The sequence below is a fragment of the Homo sapiens genome, chromosome 18, assembly GCF_000001405.40.
Source record: "Homo sapiens chromosome 18, GRCh38.p14 Primary Assembly".
Lineage (NCBI taxonomy): Eukaryota > Metazoa > Chordata > Mammalia > Primates > Hominidae > Homo > Homo sapiens.
Window position 1 is genome coordinate 74,523,455 of NC_000018.10, and position 14,074 is coordinate 74,537,528.

Sequence of the window (14,074 nt, forward strand, 5' to 3'; positions counted from 1 at the left end):
TATGGGACCAGTTTTTTTTAAAGCAAGTCTAAAGTTTTTTTCAGACTACTACAATATGGTACATGATAGGAATATTGAAATTTATTAAAAACAAAAGACTTTCTCTGAATGTCACTTCTAATTTTTATTCAAAAAGCAGATATATCTTAGGTCCTTTAGAGAAAGGTGTTTCATACATCAAGAGGCATTGAAAACTGCAGTCACTTGGCCCTTTAAACATTATATTATCAAACTCTTTTATTTACTGAAAAGACAACATCCTTTGAAAAGTGTCCATGAATCCAACGGTGGTCTGGAGATTCACATACAAATTATTTGAATATTTCTAGAAGGGCAACAATAGATTTATGTCCACACTATCTACTGGCCTAACAGTTGCAAGAAATTGTATTAAATGGAAAAATGTGAGAAAGTAAATATCTGCTGCCTGACATTGAAGAGGAAAATTGCTACTGTGTCACCCAAGTAAGGAGCTGCCAATTTTATGGATCATTTCCCTTTGAAAAATGATTGACAGTACCTTTAGGGGGAGTTAGAGTTCTTCCCAAAGGATTCGTTCATTACTATTTATAGAATTCATGTTACAAAGGGCTTTAAAGATGTTTGTCTAATGTTTCATTGCATCCCGGTGAAATAGGAGGTTTTTTCCCTGTGCTATAGAGGGGACAGGCCTGAGAGACCTTGTGATGGCCTGCCATCACTCAGCTCCTGGGAGGCAGCCTTGGGACCCAGGCCTTCCCCTCTTCCCCTCCCCTCGCTGGGGGACACTCATGCCCTCCCCTCCATGGCAGGAGGCCAGTTGTTCCTGGTGTGCACTTGGCCTCCCGCCTTTCCCACTGAGGTCTCAGCATTTCTCCTTTCGGTTTCCCCCATGGTGATTTATTGTTGACAGCTTTGGTAAGTTACAATTCATAGACCAAACAATCCGCCTGTTTAGTGTGAACAATTCAGTGGCTTCTCGTATAGTCACAGAGTTGCACAACCATCACCAGTTGATTTCAGGACATTTTCATTGCCTCCAAAAGAAACCCAGTACCTGTAACCTATCACCTCCCCCACACAATCACCCTATCTCCCTCAGGCCCAAGCATCCACTAATCTACTTTCTGTCTCTACTGACTTTCTTTTCTCTTTTTTTTTTTTTTTGAGATGGAGTCTGGCTCTGTCACCCAGGCTGGCATGCAATGGTGCGATTTCGGCTCACTGCTGCAACTTCTGCCTTCCGGGTTCAAACGATTATCCTGCGTCAGCCTTCTGAGTAGCTGGGATTATAGGCGCACGCCACCACGCCCGGCTAATTTTTGTGTTTTTTAGTAGAGATGGGGTTTCACCATGTTGGTCACACTGGTCTCGAACTCCCAACCTCAGGTGATCCGCCCACCTCGGCCTCCCAAAGTGCCAAGATTACAGGTGTGAGCCACTGCACCTGGCCTGGACTTTCATATAAATGGAATTATGCAATATATGGCCTTTGGTTTTTGTTTGTTTGTTTGTTTGTTTTTAAGAAACAGTGTCTTGCTCTGTCACCCAGGCTGGAATGCAGTGGCACCATCTTGGCTCACTGCAGCCTCAACCTCCTGGGTTCAAGTGATCCTCCAGCCTCAGCCTCTCAAGTAGCTAGGACTACAGGGTGCGTGACCGTGCCCAGCTAATTTTTTGTAGAGATGGGGTCTTGCTATATTACCCAAGCTGGTCTCGAACTCCTGGCCTCAAGCAGTTCTCCCACCTCAGCCTCCCAAAGGCATGAAGCCACCATGCCTGGCCTAATACGTGGCCTTTGTGTCTGACTTCCTTCACTCAGAATAACGTTTTCAAGGTTCATCCGTGGTGTCCCATGCGTCAGTACTTCATTCCTTCTTATAGCTGAGTAGTGTTGATTTTAAGTATAGACCACAGTTTGCTTATCCATCCATAAGTTGGTGGACATTTGGACTTTCTCCACTCTGGCTATTATGAATAATGCTGCCATGAATATTCGTGTCCCAGTTTTTGTGTGGACACATCTCATTTCTCTTGGGTATATGCCTAGGAGGGGAATTGCTGGGCAATATGGGAATTCCATCTTTAGCTGTTTGGGGAACTGCTAGACTGTTGTCCAAAGTGGCTGCGCCATTTTACATTCCCGCCAGCAGTGTACCAGGATTCTGATTTGTCCACACTCTCAACAACACCTGCAATCTTTCTGATCGTGCCATTCTAGTGGGTGTGACATGGTATCTCAGCATTTCTCCCTAGACCCAATCAATACAAAAATGATCTTGCTTCCAGATCCTGAAGGTTAGAGATAAGACTTATAGTCAAACACCTGTAGAATCCGAGAGTTGGGAGGGCAAACGTAGGGAGCAGCCATGACTCCTGGGACAGAGAGGCCGAGGAAGAGCCGCTCCTCAGGGCTAAGTCCAGACCTTGCTGGAGATAGCATAGCCCTGGCCCAGTGCCCGGCAGAGAAGTCCCTGTGGAGAACTTGCTGGACTGTGACCCCCAGGGATGCCAGGGAAGTTGTGTACAGGGAAGTGTCTTGCTGAAGGCACTGCATGATGAGACTTCCCCAGGAGGGCGTCAAGGGGAATGCCGGCTTCCAGTTGCTGCTGGTCACCATGCTTCCAAGAGCATGGGCGGCTACAGGAGCTCCTCTGCAGGAAGCTGTCCACGAGGGGCATGTTCTTCTTTGTCCCTCCAGGGCTGCAGTGGGAGGCTGCCTCATTCTGGGAATCGGCATAGGATTACCTACACATACAATCCGTGCTTTAAAATATCAGCTTAATTAATTACAGTCCGCTTTGCTATTTTGACTCATAGGTCGGAACTTGGATGGGAAAAAGAGGTGCCATTGCCCAGACCTCTCATGCCCAGCACTTACTAAAAAGGAGGGAAGAAATTGGAATACCTCTGCTCCCCGGGTGCCTGCCCTGGGGTCATCCCTCAGGGTCTTCAGCAGCAGATGTTCCCCACCTCTCCCAAGTCCTCCCTAAGCCCTGCAGCTAGTCCTCTCAGGTTTATCCTAAAAAAACAATTTGATAGCAATCATTTCACGTGCTTATGTAACCCAGATCTCCCTCAAGGGTCTTTGCATTCATCAACAAACAGTTCCAGGAGATGCTGCTTTGGGAGCCTTTTCTCTATGGCCAAAAGCAAAAGCCTGTCCTGTATCAAGTTCAGGCCACAGCACAAAGTTGGCCAGTGAGAAAAACACCGTAATCTTGTCTGATGTAGAAAAAGACAGAACTTGTTGTGCCACATTCTTAACCTAGAAGAGAGTCAGCTCAGTGAGCCCTTCTGACCTGAAGGAACAGTTAACGTCCCCATGTGATTTAGAGAAAGTCAAGTTCATTCTTTGCTTGTTATTTTTTGGTGTCTGGGCCAGATAAGTCATGCTAGAAATGTTCAGGATCCTTAATCAACAGTGTATTAATTAATGAGGATAAGTCTAAGCTACTGTGACCAAAATGATCAAGGCTTCCATGGGGTGAGGGTTTACGCATTTGTTCTTCACACAGAAGTCTGAGCAGCAAGTTCAGGGCTGCTTTGGGGGCTCCTCTATCATTTGGGACCTGGATTCCTTCCATTATGAGCCTCTTCCTTCCTCAGTTTTATCTCACAGGCCAAGATCTCTGCACCAGCTCCTGCTGGAGCCGCCAGTGGGAAGGAGGAAAAGAGAGGGCAAGACATGATCCCTCCATTTGAAGGCACAAGCCACAATTGAAAGTTTCGACCCCTTGCCTCTACTCTCCAGAAAACAGTCAGATGGCCACATCCAACTGTATGAGAGGATGAAAATATGCCTAGCTAAAGATTCTACGTAGGAGAGGGAGAACAGATGTTAGAAAACAATAATCAGTTTTTTGCAAATTGGATGTCAACCTTTAAGTTCCTCTATTACATCAATTATACCATGACACCTGCCCCAAGGAAAACAAATAGAAAAAAAAAAGAAAGAAAAGGCATCCAATTTGGAAAGGAAAAAGCAAAATTTTCTGTTTGCAAATGCTATGATCTTACATATAGAAAACCCCAGAAGAACTCCACCAAAATACCCTTAGAACTAATGAATAGTTCACTTACTAAATGAACTCAGTAAAGATTTTGAATACAAAATCAACACATAAAAATTAGTTGCACTCCTATACACCAAAAATAAATTACCCAAAAAGAAATTAAGAAAATGATTTTATTTACAATAGCATCAAAAAGAATAAAATACTTAGGAATAAATTTAACCAAGGAGATGAAAGATCTGTAAACCAAAAACTGTAAGACATTGATGAAAAGGAAGATACAAATGTAAAGGTATCCCACGTTCATGGATTGGAAGAATTAATATTTTTACAGTATCCATAGTACCCGAGGTGATCTACAGAGTCAGTGCAATTCCTATCAAAATATCAATGGCATTTTTCACAGATAGAAAAAAAATCCTAAAATTTATGTAGAATCATGGAAGACCACAAATAGCAAAAGCAACCTTGAAAAAGAGAACAAAGCTGGTGGCATCACACTACCTGACTTCAAAGTATACTATAAAACTGTAGTAACCAAAATAGGGTACTGGCATAAAAACAGACATTTAGACCAATGGAACAGAATGGAAAGCCCAGGAATCAATTCACACACTTACAGCCAATTGATTTTCAACAAAGGTGCCAAGAACATATGGGAAAGGACAGTTTCTTCAATAAATAACAATGGGAAAACTGGATATCCATATACAGAAGAATGAAATTGGACCTTTAGCTCACACCATATACAAAAATCAACTCAAAATGGATTGAAGACTTAAATGTAAGATTTGAAACCATAAGAATCTTAGAACACAGAAGAAAATCTTCATGACATTGGTCCTGGCAATGATTTTTTGGCGATGACACCAAATGCATAGGTAACAAAAGAAAAAATAAACAATTGGGACTTCACTAAACTAAAAATTTTCTGCTCAGCAAAAGAAACAACAAAATGAGAAGGCAACCTATGGAATGGGAGAAAATATTTGCAAACCACATATCTGATAAGGGGGTTAACCTGCAAAATATATAAGGAACTCACACAACTCAGTAGCAAAAAAAAAAAAAAAAAAAGTAACCCAATTTTGAAAATGGACAAAGGATCTGAATAGACATTTTTTCAAAGAAGATCTACAAATGGCTAACAAGTATATAAAAAAATACTCAGTATTACTAACCATCAGAGAAATGCAAATCCAAACCACAATGAGGTATCACCTCACACCTGTTAGTATGGCAAAGACAAGAGATAATAAGTGTTGGAGATGACGTAGAGAAAAAGGAACCCTTGCACACTGTTGGTGGGAATGTAAATTAGTGCAGCCATTATAAAAATTTCTCAAAACACTAAAACTAGAACTACCATATGATCCAGCCTTGTTGCTTCTGTGTATTTATCCAAAGGAAATGAAATCAGTATGTCAAAGAAATGTCTGCACCCCCATGTTCATTGCAGCATTAGTCACAATAGCCAAGATAGGGAAACAACTAAAAGTCCATCGGCAGATGAATGGATAAAGAAAATGTAGTCTATATACACAATGGACCACTATGCAGCCAGATAGAAACAAGGGAATCCTGTTATTTGTGACAACATAGATGATCTTGGAGACTTTAAGCTAAGTTAAACTAAGCCAGACACAGAAATACAATGCTGTTAAATCTCACTTCTATGTGGACTCGAAAGTCAAACTCATAGAAACAGACTGGGATGGTGGTTGCCAGAAGTTGGAGGGAGGGGGAATGAGATGGTGAGCACAGGGTACAGACTTTCAGTTACAAGATAAACAAGTGCTGGGGATTTACTGTACGGGAGGGGTGGTGATGTTGTGTTCATTCATTTGATTGGGATAATCATTACACAATGTATACATATATCAAATGATTGCATTTGACACCTTGAATATATACAATCTTTATTTGTCAACTAAATTTTTTAAAGTGTATATAACAGATAGAGGAAATACCCATGGAACACACTTTGTTATCAATGTTTTGAAGAAAACTCACCATCTGCATCAGCCCCAAAGCTGTGGGAAGCATGCAGCACGGGGGGAGAAAGCAGTCCTGGTAAATGGTGCTCACGGCCCTCCTGTTCCTTTCACCACTGCACAATCAGGAGGCAACTGTGGACCCTCTCAGGCTTGCAGGGCCCCCTGGGCAGGTGGTTCCTCGTTGATGACTCTTCAGTATCATAGGCGCCTGCGTGTAGTAGAATCTGTTACTACTCTACATGGTAAGACAGTGGAGTTTTCACTCACTTATGCAGAATTCTGTCAGTCTGAGTTTCCTCAAATGGCCTTTGACAGGAGTCTGGTTCGACAGACAGGTGCTAACTCAAAAGAAATAGTGGTTTAGTTACAGCAGAATTTCCTCAGAACAACAGATGGTCATGACCAAACCCCACCCAAAAGGGCGCAGAGTGGGCTTTGACTGAGATGTTCGCATGAGATGGTCCTGTGGCCTGAACCCCTGGGGTCCGGGAGACCAGCCAGGGTGAGGCTGCTGGAGCCACGCCGGAGGAGGTCAGGGCCTGGACGCCCTATGGAGTGGAAAAGACCAGGAGATCCGAAGCCCCATCCAATCCTCGGATCTTGCATCTTGCTTTCTGCTAATGGGCGCCCCTTCTGAGAAGACGGGTTTCCCGCTTGCCCTTGTTGCAGCCCCATCCCCACCCAGAAGCCCCCACTTCCTCTGCCTATCCCTGTTTCTCATCTGCCCATCTGAAATCGGATGATTTCTCTGGGGGTGGGCCTCGCCGCTGGCCTTTTTGAAGCTCCCAGGTGATTCTAGCATGCTTCCCGCTGGAGGGCCCGACCTCTCCAGTCCCACCTGCCCTCCAGGAAGGCTCACCTCCTCCAGCTCCCCACGCCTGCCCCAGCATCTGCCCCAGCATCTGCCCAAAGCGTCCTCTTCCACGTTCAAACCCAGGACTTCTGTCCACGTGAGTCACTTAACTGTTAGCTGCATGCTGCTGGGCCATTTCCTACATTTGTCCCGTCTCCTTGAAGGCAGGGCTTGGGCACTTGCTCCGCCATTGTACCCAACGCAGAGCAGCAGCCAAGATGCGCTCGTGAAATCTCACTGAGGTGGGCAAGGCCTGGGGGAGTCTGGGGTGAGCTGGAATCATGTCAGCTCCTGTTCATTGTGCACCTACTGTGTCCAGTACTGTGTACTCGGCCCTGCGCCGGTTGTGATACACACTGTTTCCACTGCCCGGACAGGGCTCCCAGAGGGCAAGAAGGTCACAGCGTGCAGGCCACACCTGGGCTTGCCACTTCTGGGAAAGCTTCCAAGAGAGAAGGAAAAGCTAGATTTCTGTGGGGTTATAGAGAGTTGAAGGGACAGACGGGAGAGTGTGTGTGGAGATTTATTTTCCCAGAACTTGAATGGAAGCTGTTACTGTCAACTTCATCTCTTAAGAGCCCTCTTGGACATGTTTTAATGTCCCAAGACAGGGCAAAAGGTCTGTTTTCATCTCTAATCATAACAATAACCAGCTTTGCCTCATTGAACCCAGAGAAGGTAGGTTACTTTCTCCTCTTTCCAGGGAAGTAAATGGGAGACTTGGAGAGGTGGTTCCCACCGGCTCTGTTTGAGTCCTGGAGTCAGGGAGGACTCTTTGCAGACCAAAGCATGAAGTTTTCAGTGCTGCAGGATTCAGACTGATCGGCATCGTGGTGCGTCATTACACAGATCCTTGGTGGCAGTAGCTTGGTCTAGATGGTTGAGGAAGAGGAGAAAATGGAAGCTGGTGAATACCGCTGAGGTAGCAGATCTTTCCCTCCCTCCTGGGAGTACAGGCTGCCTGAGGTCCATTTCTCTCTCCACTGGGTGTGACTGCAGGGCGCTACGTGCTTGTGCTACACCAGATACAGAAAGATGCCACACTGCAGGGAAAAGGGCCCCAGGCATGCTCAGGAAGCCTTCATGAGCCCCAGCTAGCTGGGATAATGAGTTCCAACTCTGCCACTCCAGAGGTTTCTTCGTTGGTAAAAAGTATTTGTCCTTTCATTCAACAGTTACAGAGTAACTTCCAGTGTGCGAATCCCTGCAACAGTTATCAAGAGAGAAATGATGCAAAAGAAGACTGCTTGTAAGTGAGTAAAGTGCCTCCTGGGGAGTGATGATGCCTTATGAAAGGTATGGAAGGTGCTAGGGGATCTGGCTGAAGAATCGTGATAGGATTTTGACCAAGCGAGGTCTGTAAATGGGGCATGTCATTGGCACAGAGCTTACTTACCAGGCACAGACCTAGGATGTATTTCTCTCTGCCGACGTGGTGTACATCATACTCCGCCGACAGACACAGGTGGTGGCCTCTGACACAGCAAAGTTAGAGGGAAAACTAGCTCCAGGCATTGCCCCTCGTACTCTCCAATGGAAACCTGGGAAGCTGAAAAGCACAGCCTAGCTTAGGTTCACATGTGTTAGGAGTAGGGAACCCAGAGTAGCTTCTTCGTCTGTCTCTTTCCCTCTCTGTCTCCCCCTCTCTCTCTCCACCACCATCTCTCTCTCCTCTCTCCCTTTCTCCCCTCTCTTCTCTCCACTGTCTCCCAGATTTAACTGGCATCGAGATGGAGATCTGTGAAGATGGAAGACTGAGAAGGCAAAATAATTGGAATTCTTGTAGGAGCACTTTCCCCTGGACCTGTGTTTGGCTTCCGTTCTTGCTAATATCTGTTGGAGTCTTTCCTTCCTTCCTTCCAAACTATATTAGTAATAGAATCAAATGTCTTCTTTTGTAATCAACTAACAAAACATTTTTTAAATTTGTATTGATTTATTTTTAATTTTTATAAAGATGGGGACTCACTCTGTTGCCCAGGCTGGTCTCCAACTCCTGACAAGGAATCCTCCTGCCTCAGCCTCCCAAAGTGCTGGGATTCTAACAAAATATTTGAGCCAGCTCTGTTTTCCTCTTTTCTAGAAAAAAAATTATTGTGAGGAACACTCATATCTCACATATTTTCTGCAAGGAAAGAGTAAAGTGCATTTGACAGAGGCTGAGAAAGAGGAATTCTCTGATCTGAATTACATGGGCTTTTGAAGCCCTGGGCTCGCCCGTGCGCTATGCTCTTGCCAGAGGTGACTTTGGCTGGGTAGGGGCAAGGTTTTCCACTGATGACTGCAGGCAGCAGGGCCCCCACCCTCCTAGGATCACAGCCCACACCTGGGCCCAGCCTCACCCTCTCCTTCCTTTCCAGCCCTCGGAATTCTGAGTATGATCCCAGCAACTTGGCCTTCGGAAGAAGGGCCAGGCCCACTTCCTGGGAGCTGCTGTGCTGGGCCTGGAGCTCAAGGAGCCCGGCCTGGCAAGTGTCAGGGAAAGGGTGTGAGGATGGGGAGGAGGTGCAGAGACGCAGCTGGTGGAGACGCTGCCCCTCTGCAAGGGAGAGGGGCCCGGCCCTGATAGCCACAGCTAGCCTTAACTAGCAGGGATAATGAGTTCCAACTCTGCCTTTCCAGAGATTTCTTTGTTGGTAAAAATTATTTGATTATTTGTCCTTTCATTCAGCAAACAGTTAGAGTAAGTCTCCAGTGTGCCAATCCCTGCAAGAGTTATTCAGAGAGAAATGATGCAAAAGAATCCCAGTCCCCCAGAAAAGCCCCGGGACCCCTCAACCCAAGGCTCTGGCCTGTGCCCTGCTGCCTCCTTTTCTCTACTGTCCCCTGACCTTCCCACCAAAATTTATATGTTGACATCCTAACCCCCAAGACCTCAGAATGTGACCTTCTATGGAGATAGGGTCATTGCAGATTGAATTACTTATCTTTAGATAAGGTCACATGGGCATAGGATGGACCCCTGATTACACACAACTGTGTCCTTATGAGAAGGGACAATCTGGACACACACACATACACAGGGAGAACATCATAAGAAGATGAGGGCAGAGATCGGGTGATGCTTGTACAAGACAAGGGACACCAAGGACGGCCAGCAGCCACGCGGGTCAAGGCCTGGAGCACGCCCTTCCCGCTCAGCCTCAGGAGAAACCTGCCCTGCCCATACCTTCATCTCAGACTTCCAGTCTCCAGAATTGAGACCGATTTCTGTTGCTTAAGCCACCCAGTGTAGGGTACTTTTGTTAGAGCAGATGTTGGGGCTCAGAAGCCAATACCCCAAAATATGGTGCTTTGTTCAAGCTGAACTGAAAAGGAACTTCAAGGCCTCTCGGCTCCCCCACCCCCACCATCTCTCCCAGAGTTCCTGAAGTGTCCTTATCTCCTTCAAGTCTGACCCACCAAAGAAGAAAGGAATGACCTCTAGTCCCTTCCCTGAGTTTTCGTTAACTGAACCCATATCTCAGGAAGGAAGGCTGACACCGAACACGCTGGACAGACTTGTCAAGACCATTGTCTGCTCCGGGGCCCAGCAGACTTGAACGAAGACCGTGGCGTGCTCTTCAAGCCCACTGAATCCTCCCTCGTGAGCGCTGATTGCCCTCAGCTGAAGTCCTCTTTTCTCCTCCCATAACCTGTTGCGCGAGAATCTAAGCCGCCACTCCTTGTGGAACCTCAAGAGGGTGTCTCAGCTTCCCAACCCCATTAGGGATTGGTCCTTCCTTCTGAAGGCTCCCATGTCACTTAAAACTAGGAGCAAATCAATCTGTTATGCCTCTTCTCCAATTCAACTGCCCTTTGCAAGCTGATTTTGCAGCGAACCTTCAGAGAGCTGGGAAAACTCTACCCTCGGCCCCTGCACAGCCCTAGGAAGCTAATCCTCGGCCGTAACATTCCATCACAAGGGCCCACAGCCACAGTGTGTGGGGGCCTGTCATGTGAGGGGGCTGTCACCTGAGGGGGCTGTGCCGCTGGCTCAGCTCTGCCTGCTGGCCGGGGCCCTACTCCCTCTCAGAGATGACACACAAGTGCCCCCAAAGAAGAACCCGAGGAGTCGCAGGCTGGGCCAGGCTGCTGGCTTCCAGTGACATCACATGACTTTGGGGCCACTGCCTCATCCCGTATCTGCGCGTATGAGATGCATTGTCTCTTCCTCTGCAGTTGAGCTGAATGAATACCTCCGAAGCCGCTTTGTTCTCCAGATGTGAATAGCTCCACTATACCAGCCTCGTCTTCCTTCCGGGGGACAACGTGGGTCAGGGCACAGAGAGATATTTAATGTCACCCTCTTGGGGCTTTCATGGGACTCCCTCTGCCACATTTTTTGGAGGTTGGGAAAGTTGCTAGAGGCTTCAGAACTCCAGCCTAATGGATCCCAAACTCGGGAGAATGGTGAGTAGGACCTCCTCCATCAGAGTCCGTGCATTGGGTGCCAGAATTCCATTTGTCCCGGGAGCATGTGCGTTAAGCCCAGTTGGGCAGGGCAGGCACCCAGCGTGGCCCCAGATGCTGCTCCTCATGGTGTTCTTAGGTGCTGTCTTGGCCGAGGAATGTGGTATTTGGAATTATATTTTATCAGTAATGCTTTTGGGTAGTTGTGTGTTCTTAACAATAATTAAATGGCATTATTGTCAAGTAGTTCATATTCAAATTGTTCATGAACTCAGTCTTCTTAAATCAATTTTTTTCTGTACTTTTTCTCTTTAAAAAAAATGAGTTTGCTTCCTGGAAGAATTTGCCTAAATAATGGTAACAGACAGTGTGCTGTTTGTCCTGGTCCCAGGTTCCCGACTTAAGGGCTAGTTTGCAAGAGCTAATCACCGGGCTAAATCACCCCAGGCCTTTCTCGGCGAGGTTTCCATGGTTCAGGTGCAAACCTGAGTGTGGGTGTGGCGGGAAGGCTTCTCTCTAGGAAAACAAGCAGGCAGGTACCTTTGGCTGTGAGGTTTTGTGGGGTTGTGTTCCAGACTACTTGGAAAGATAAAATTCATGGACGCTTTTTATTTCCATTGCAAACACACACATACACACACAGAAATTTTCAGAATTTTGTGGAAGGTTGATACGTAGAAGACTCTCAAAAGACATACTGAAACAAATACATGCAAATGCGAGGCTGGAGACACAGTGAGCAGGCAGGTGGTGACCTGACCACAGCCGGATTCTAGAAGTGGGCTTTGCCCACCTGCAAGACCATGAGATTCCCACACCATGCTGCAAAATCACTGCTCTGAGAGAAAGAACCTCACCCTGTGGTCTGGCCATGCTTTCCATTGCTGACTTTTTTTTTTTTTTAAAGAACCCATGACTGGCCAGGGCATTGGGGTGGGGGTTAGAAGAGGACATTTCACTGAATACTGTCTTACTTTAAAAAATCTTTAAACTGTGTCATGATAGTATCTATTCAAAACATTAAAGTTAAAAGCAACATGAAAGAAAATAATTTCCCTGGCTGGGCATGGTGGCTTATGTCTGCAATCCCAACACTTTAGGAGGCCAAAGCAGGAGGATCACCTGAGCCCAGGAGTTCAAGACTGGCCTGGGCAACATAGTGAGACCCTGACTCTACAAACAATTTTAAAAGTAGCCAGGCAGGGTGGAGCATGCCTGTGGTCTCAGCTACTCAGGAGACCAAGGTGGGAGGATGGCTTGAACCTGGGAGGTCGAGGCTGCAGTGAGCCATGGTTGCGCCACTGCACTCCAGCCTGGGAGGCAGAGTAAGACCCTGTCTGAAACAAAAAAGAAGGAAATATTTTGTTTTGGACTCAATATAATACCCTTTGATATGAAAGAGAGGAAGAGATTGTACTATATATTTTCCCCTTTGCTATTCTTTTACTTTTTTTTAACTTTTATTTTTGGTTTAGCAGTACATGTGCAGGTTTCTTACATAGGTAAATTTGTGTCATGGTGATTTGTTGTACAGATTATTTAATCACCCAGGTATTAAGCCTAGTACTCATTAGTTATTTTTGCTGATCCTCTCCCTCCTCCCGTCCTCCACCCATAGGCCCCAGTGTGTGTTGTTCTCCTCTATGTGTCCATGTGTTCTCATCATTTAGCTCCCACTTACAAATGAGAACATGCAGTGTCTGGTTTTCTGTTCCTGCATTAGTTTGCTAAGGATGATGGCCTCCAGCTCCATCCATATTCCTGCAAAGGACATGATCTCATTCTTTTTTATGGCTGCATAGTATTCACCATGGTGTAGATGTACCACATTTTCTTTACCCAGTCTGTCATTGATGGACATTTAGGTTGATTCCATGTCTTTGCTATTGTGAATAGTGCTGCAGTTAACATTCACATTCATGTGTCTTTATAGTAGAATGATTTATATTCCTCTGAGCATATAACCCAGTAATGGGATTATTGGGTCAAACGGTAGTTCTGTTTTTAGCTGTTTGAGGAATTGCCACACTGCTTTCCACAATAATTGAACTAATTTACACTCCTACCAACAACGTATAAGTTTTCCCTTTTCTCTGCAACCTCACTTGCATCTGTTATTTTTTGACTTTTTAATACAGTTGTTTGATGTGAGATGGTATCTCATTGTGGTTTTGATTTGCATTTCTCTAATGATCAGTGATACTGAGCTTTTTTTCATATGCTTGTTGGCCACATGTATATCTTCTTTTGAAAAGTGTCTGTTCATGTCCTTTGCCCAGTTTTTAATGGGATTGTTTGTTTTTTCTTGTAAATTTGTTGAAGTTCCTCGATACTGGATATTAGATCTTGGTCAGATGCATAGTTTGCAAATATTTTCTCCTATTCTGTAGGTTGTCCGTTTACTCTGTTGATAGTTTCTTTTACTGTGCAGAAGCTCTTAAGTTTAATTAGATTCTATTTGTCAATTTTTGCTTTTGTTGCAATTGCTTTTGGTGTCTCTGTCATGAAATCTTTGCCTGTTCCTATGTCCAGGATGGTATTGCCTAGGTTGTCTTCCAGGGTTTTTAGAGTCTGGGGTTTTATGTTTAAGTCCTTAATCCATCTTGAGTTGATTTTTGTATATGATGTAAGGAAGGGGTCCAGTTTCAATCTTCTGCATATGGCTAATGGCTAGCCAGTTATCCGAGCATCATTTATTGAATAGGGAGTCCTTTTCCATTGCTTGTTTTTGTCGCTATTGCTGACTTATTACCATCACCTTTTTCTAATACTGAGAGAGAAAAGAAAGTCATCAATTCTATTCTTGGGATCTTGAGCCCAAGATTGGGCAAACTCTT

General features: G+C 45.4%; 1 protein-coding gene across 1 annotated transcript in view; it reads left to right on the forward strand.

Moving 5' to 3' along the window:
- CNDP1 (carnosine dipeptidase 1) overlaps window positions 11,046-14,074 on the forward strand; it is a 52,713-nt gene continuing 49,684 nt past the window's right edge. The window contains exon 1 of the mRNA NM_032649.6: window positions 11,046-11,237. Within this exon, the coding sequence (NP_116038.4) occupies window positions 11,214-11,237 (24 nt within the window). The 5' untranslated portion in view covers window positions 11,046-11,213. The remainder of the gene's footprint in view (window positions 11,238-14,074) is intronic.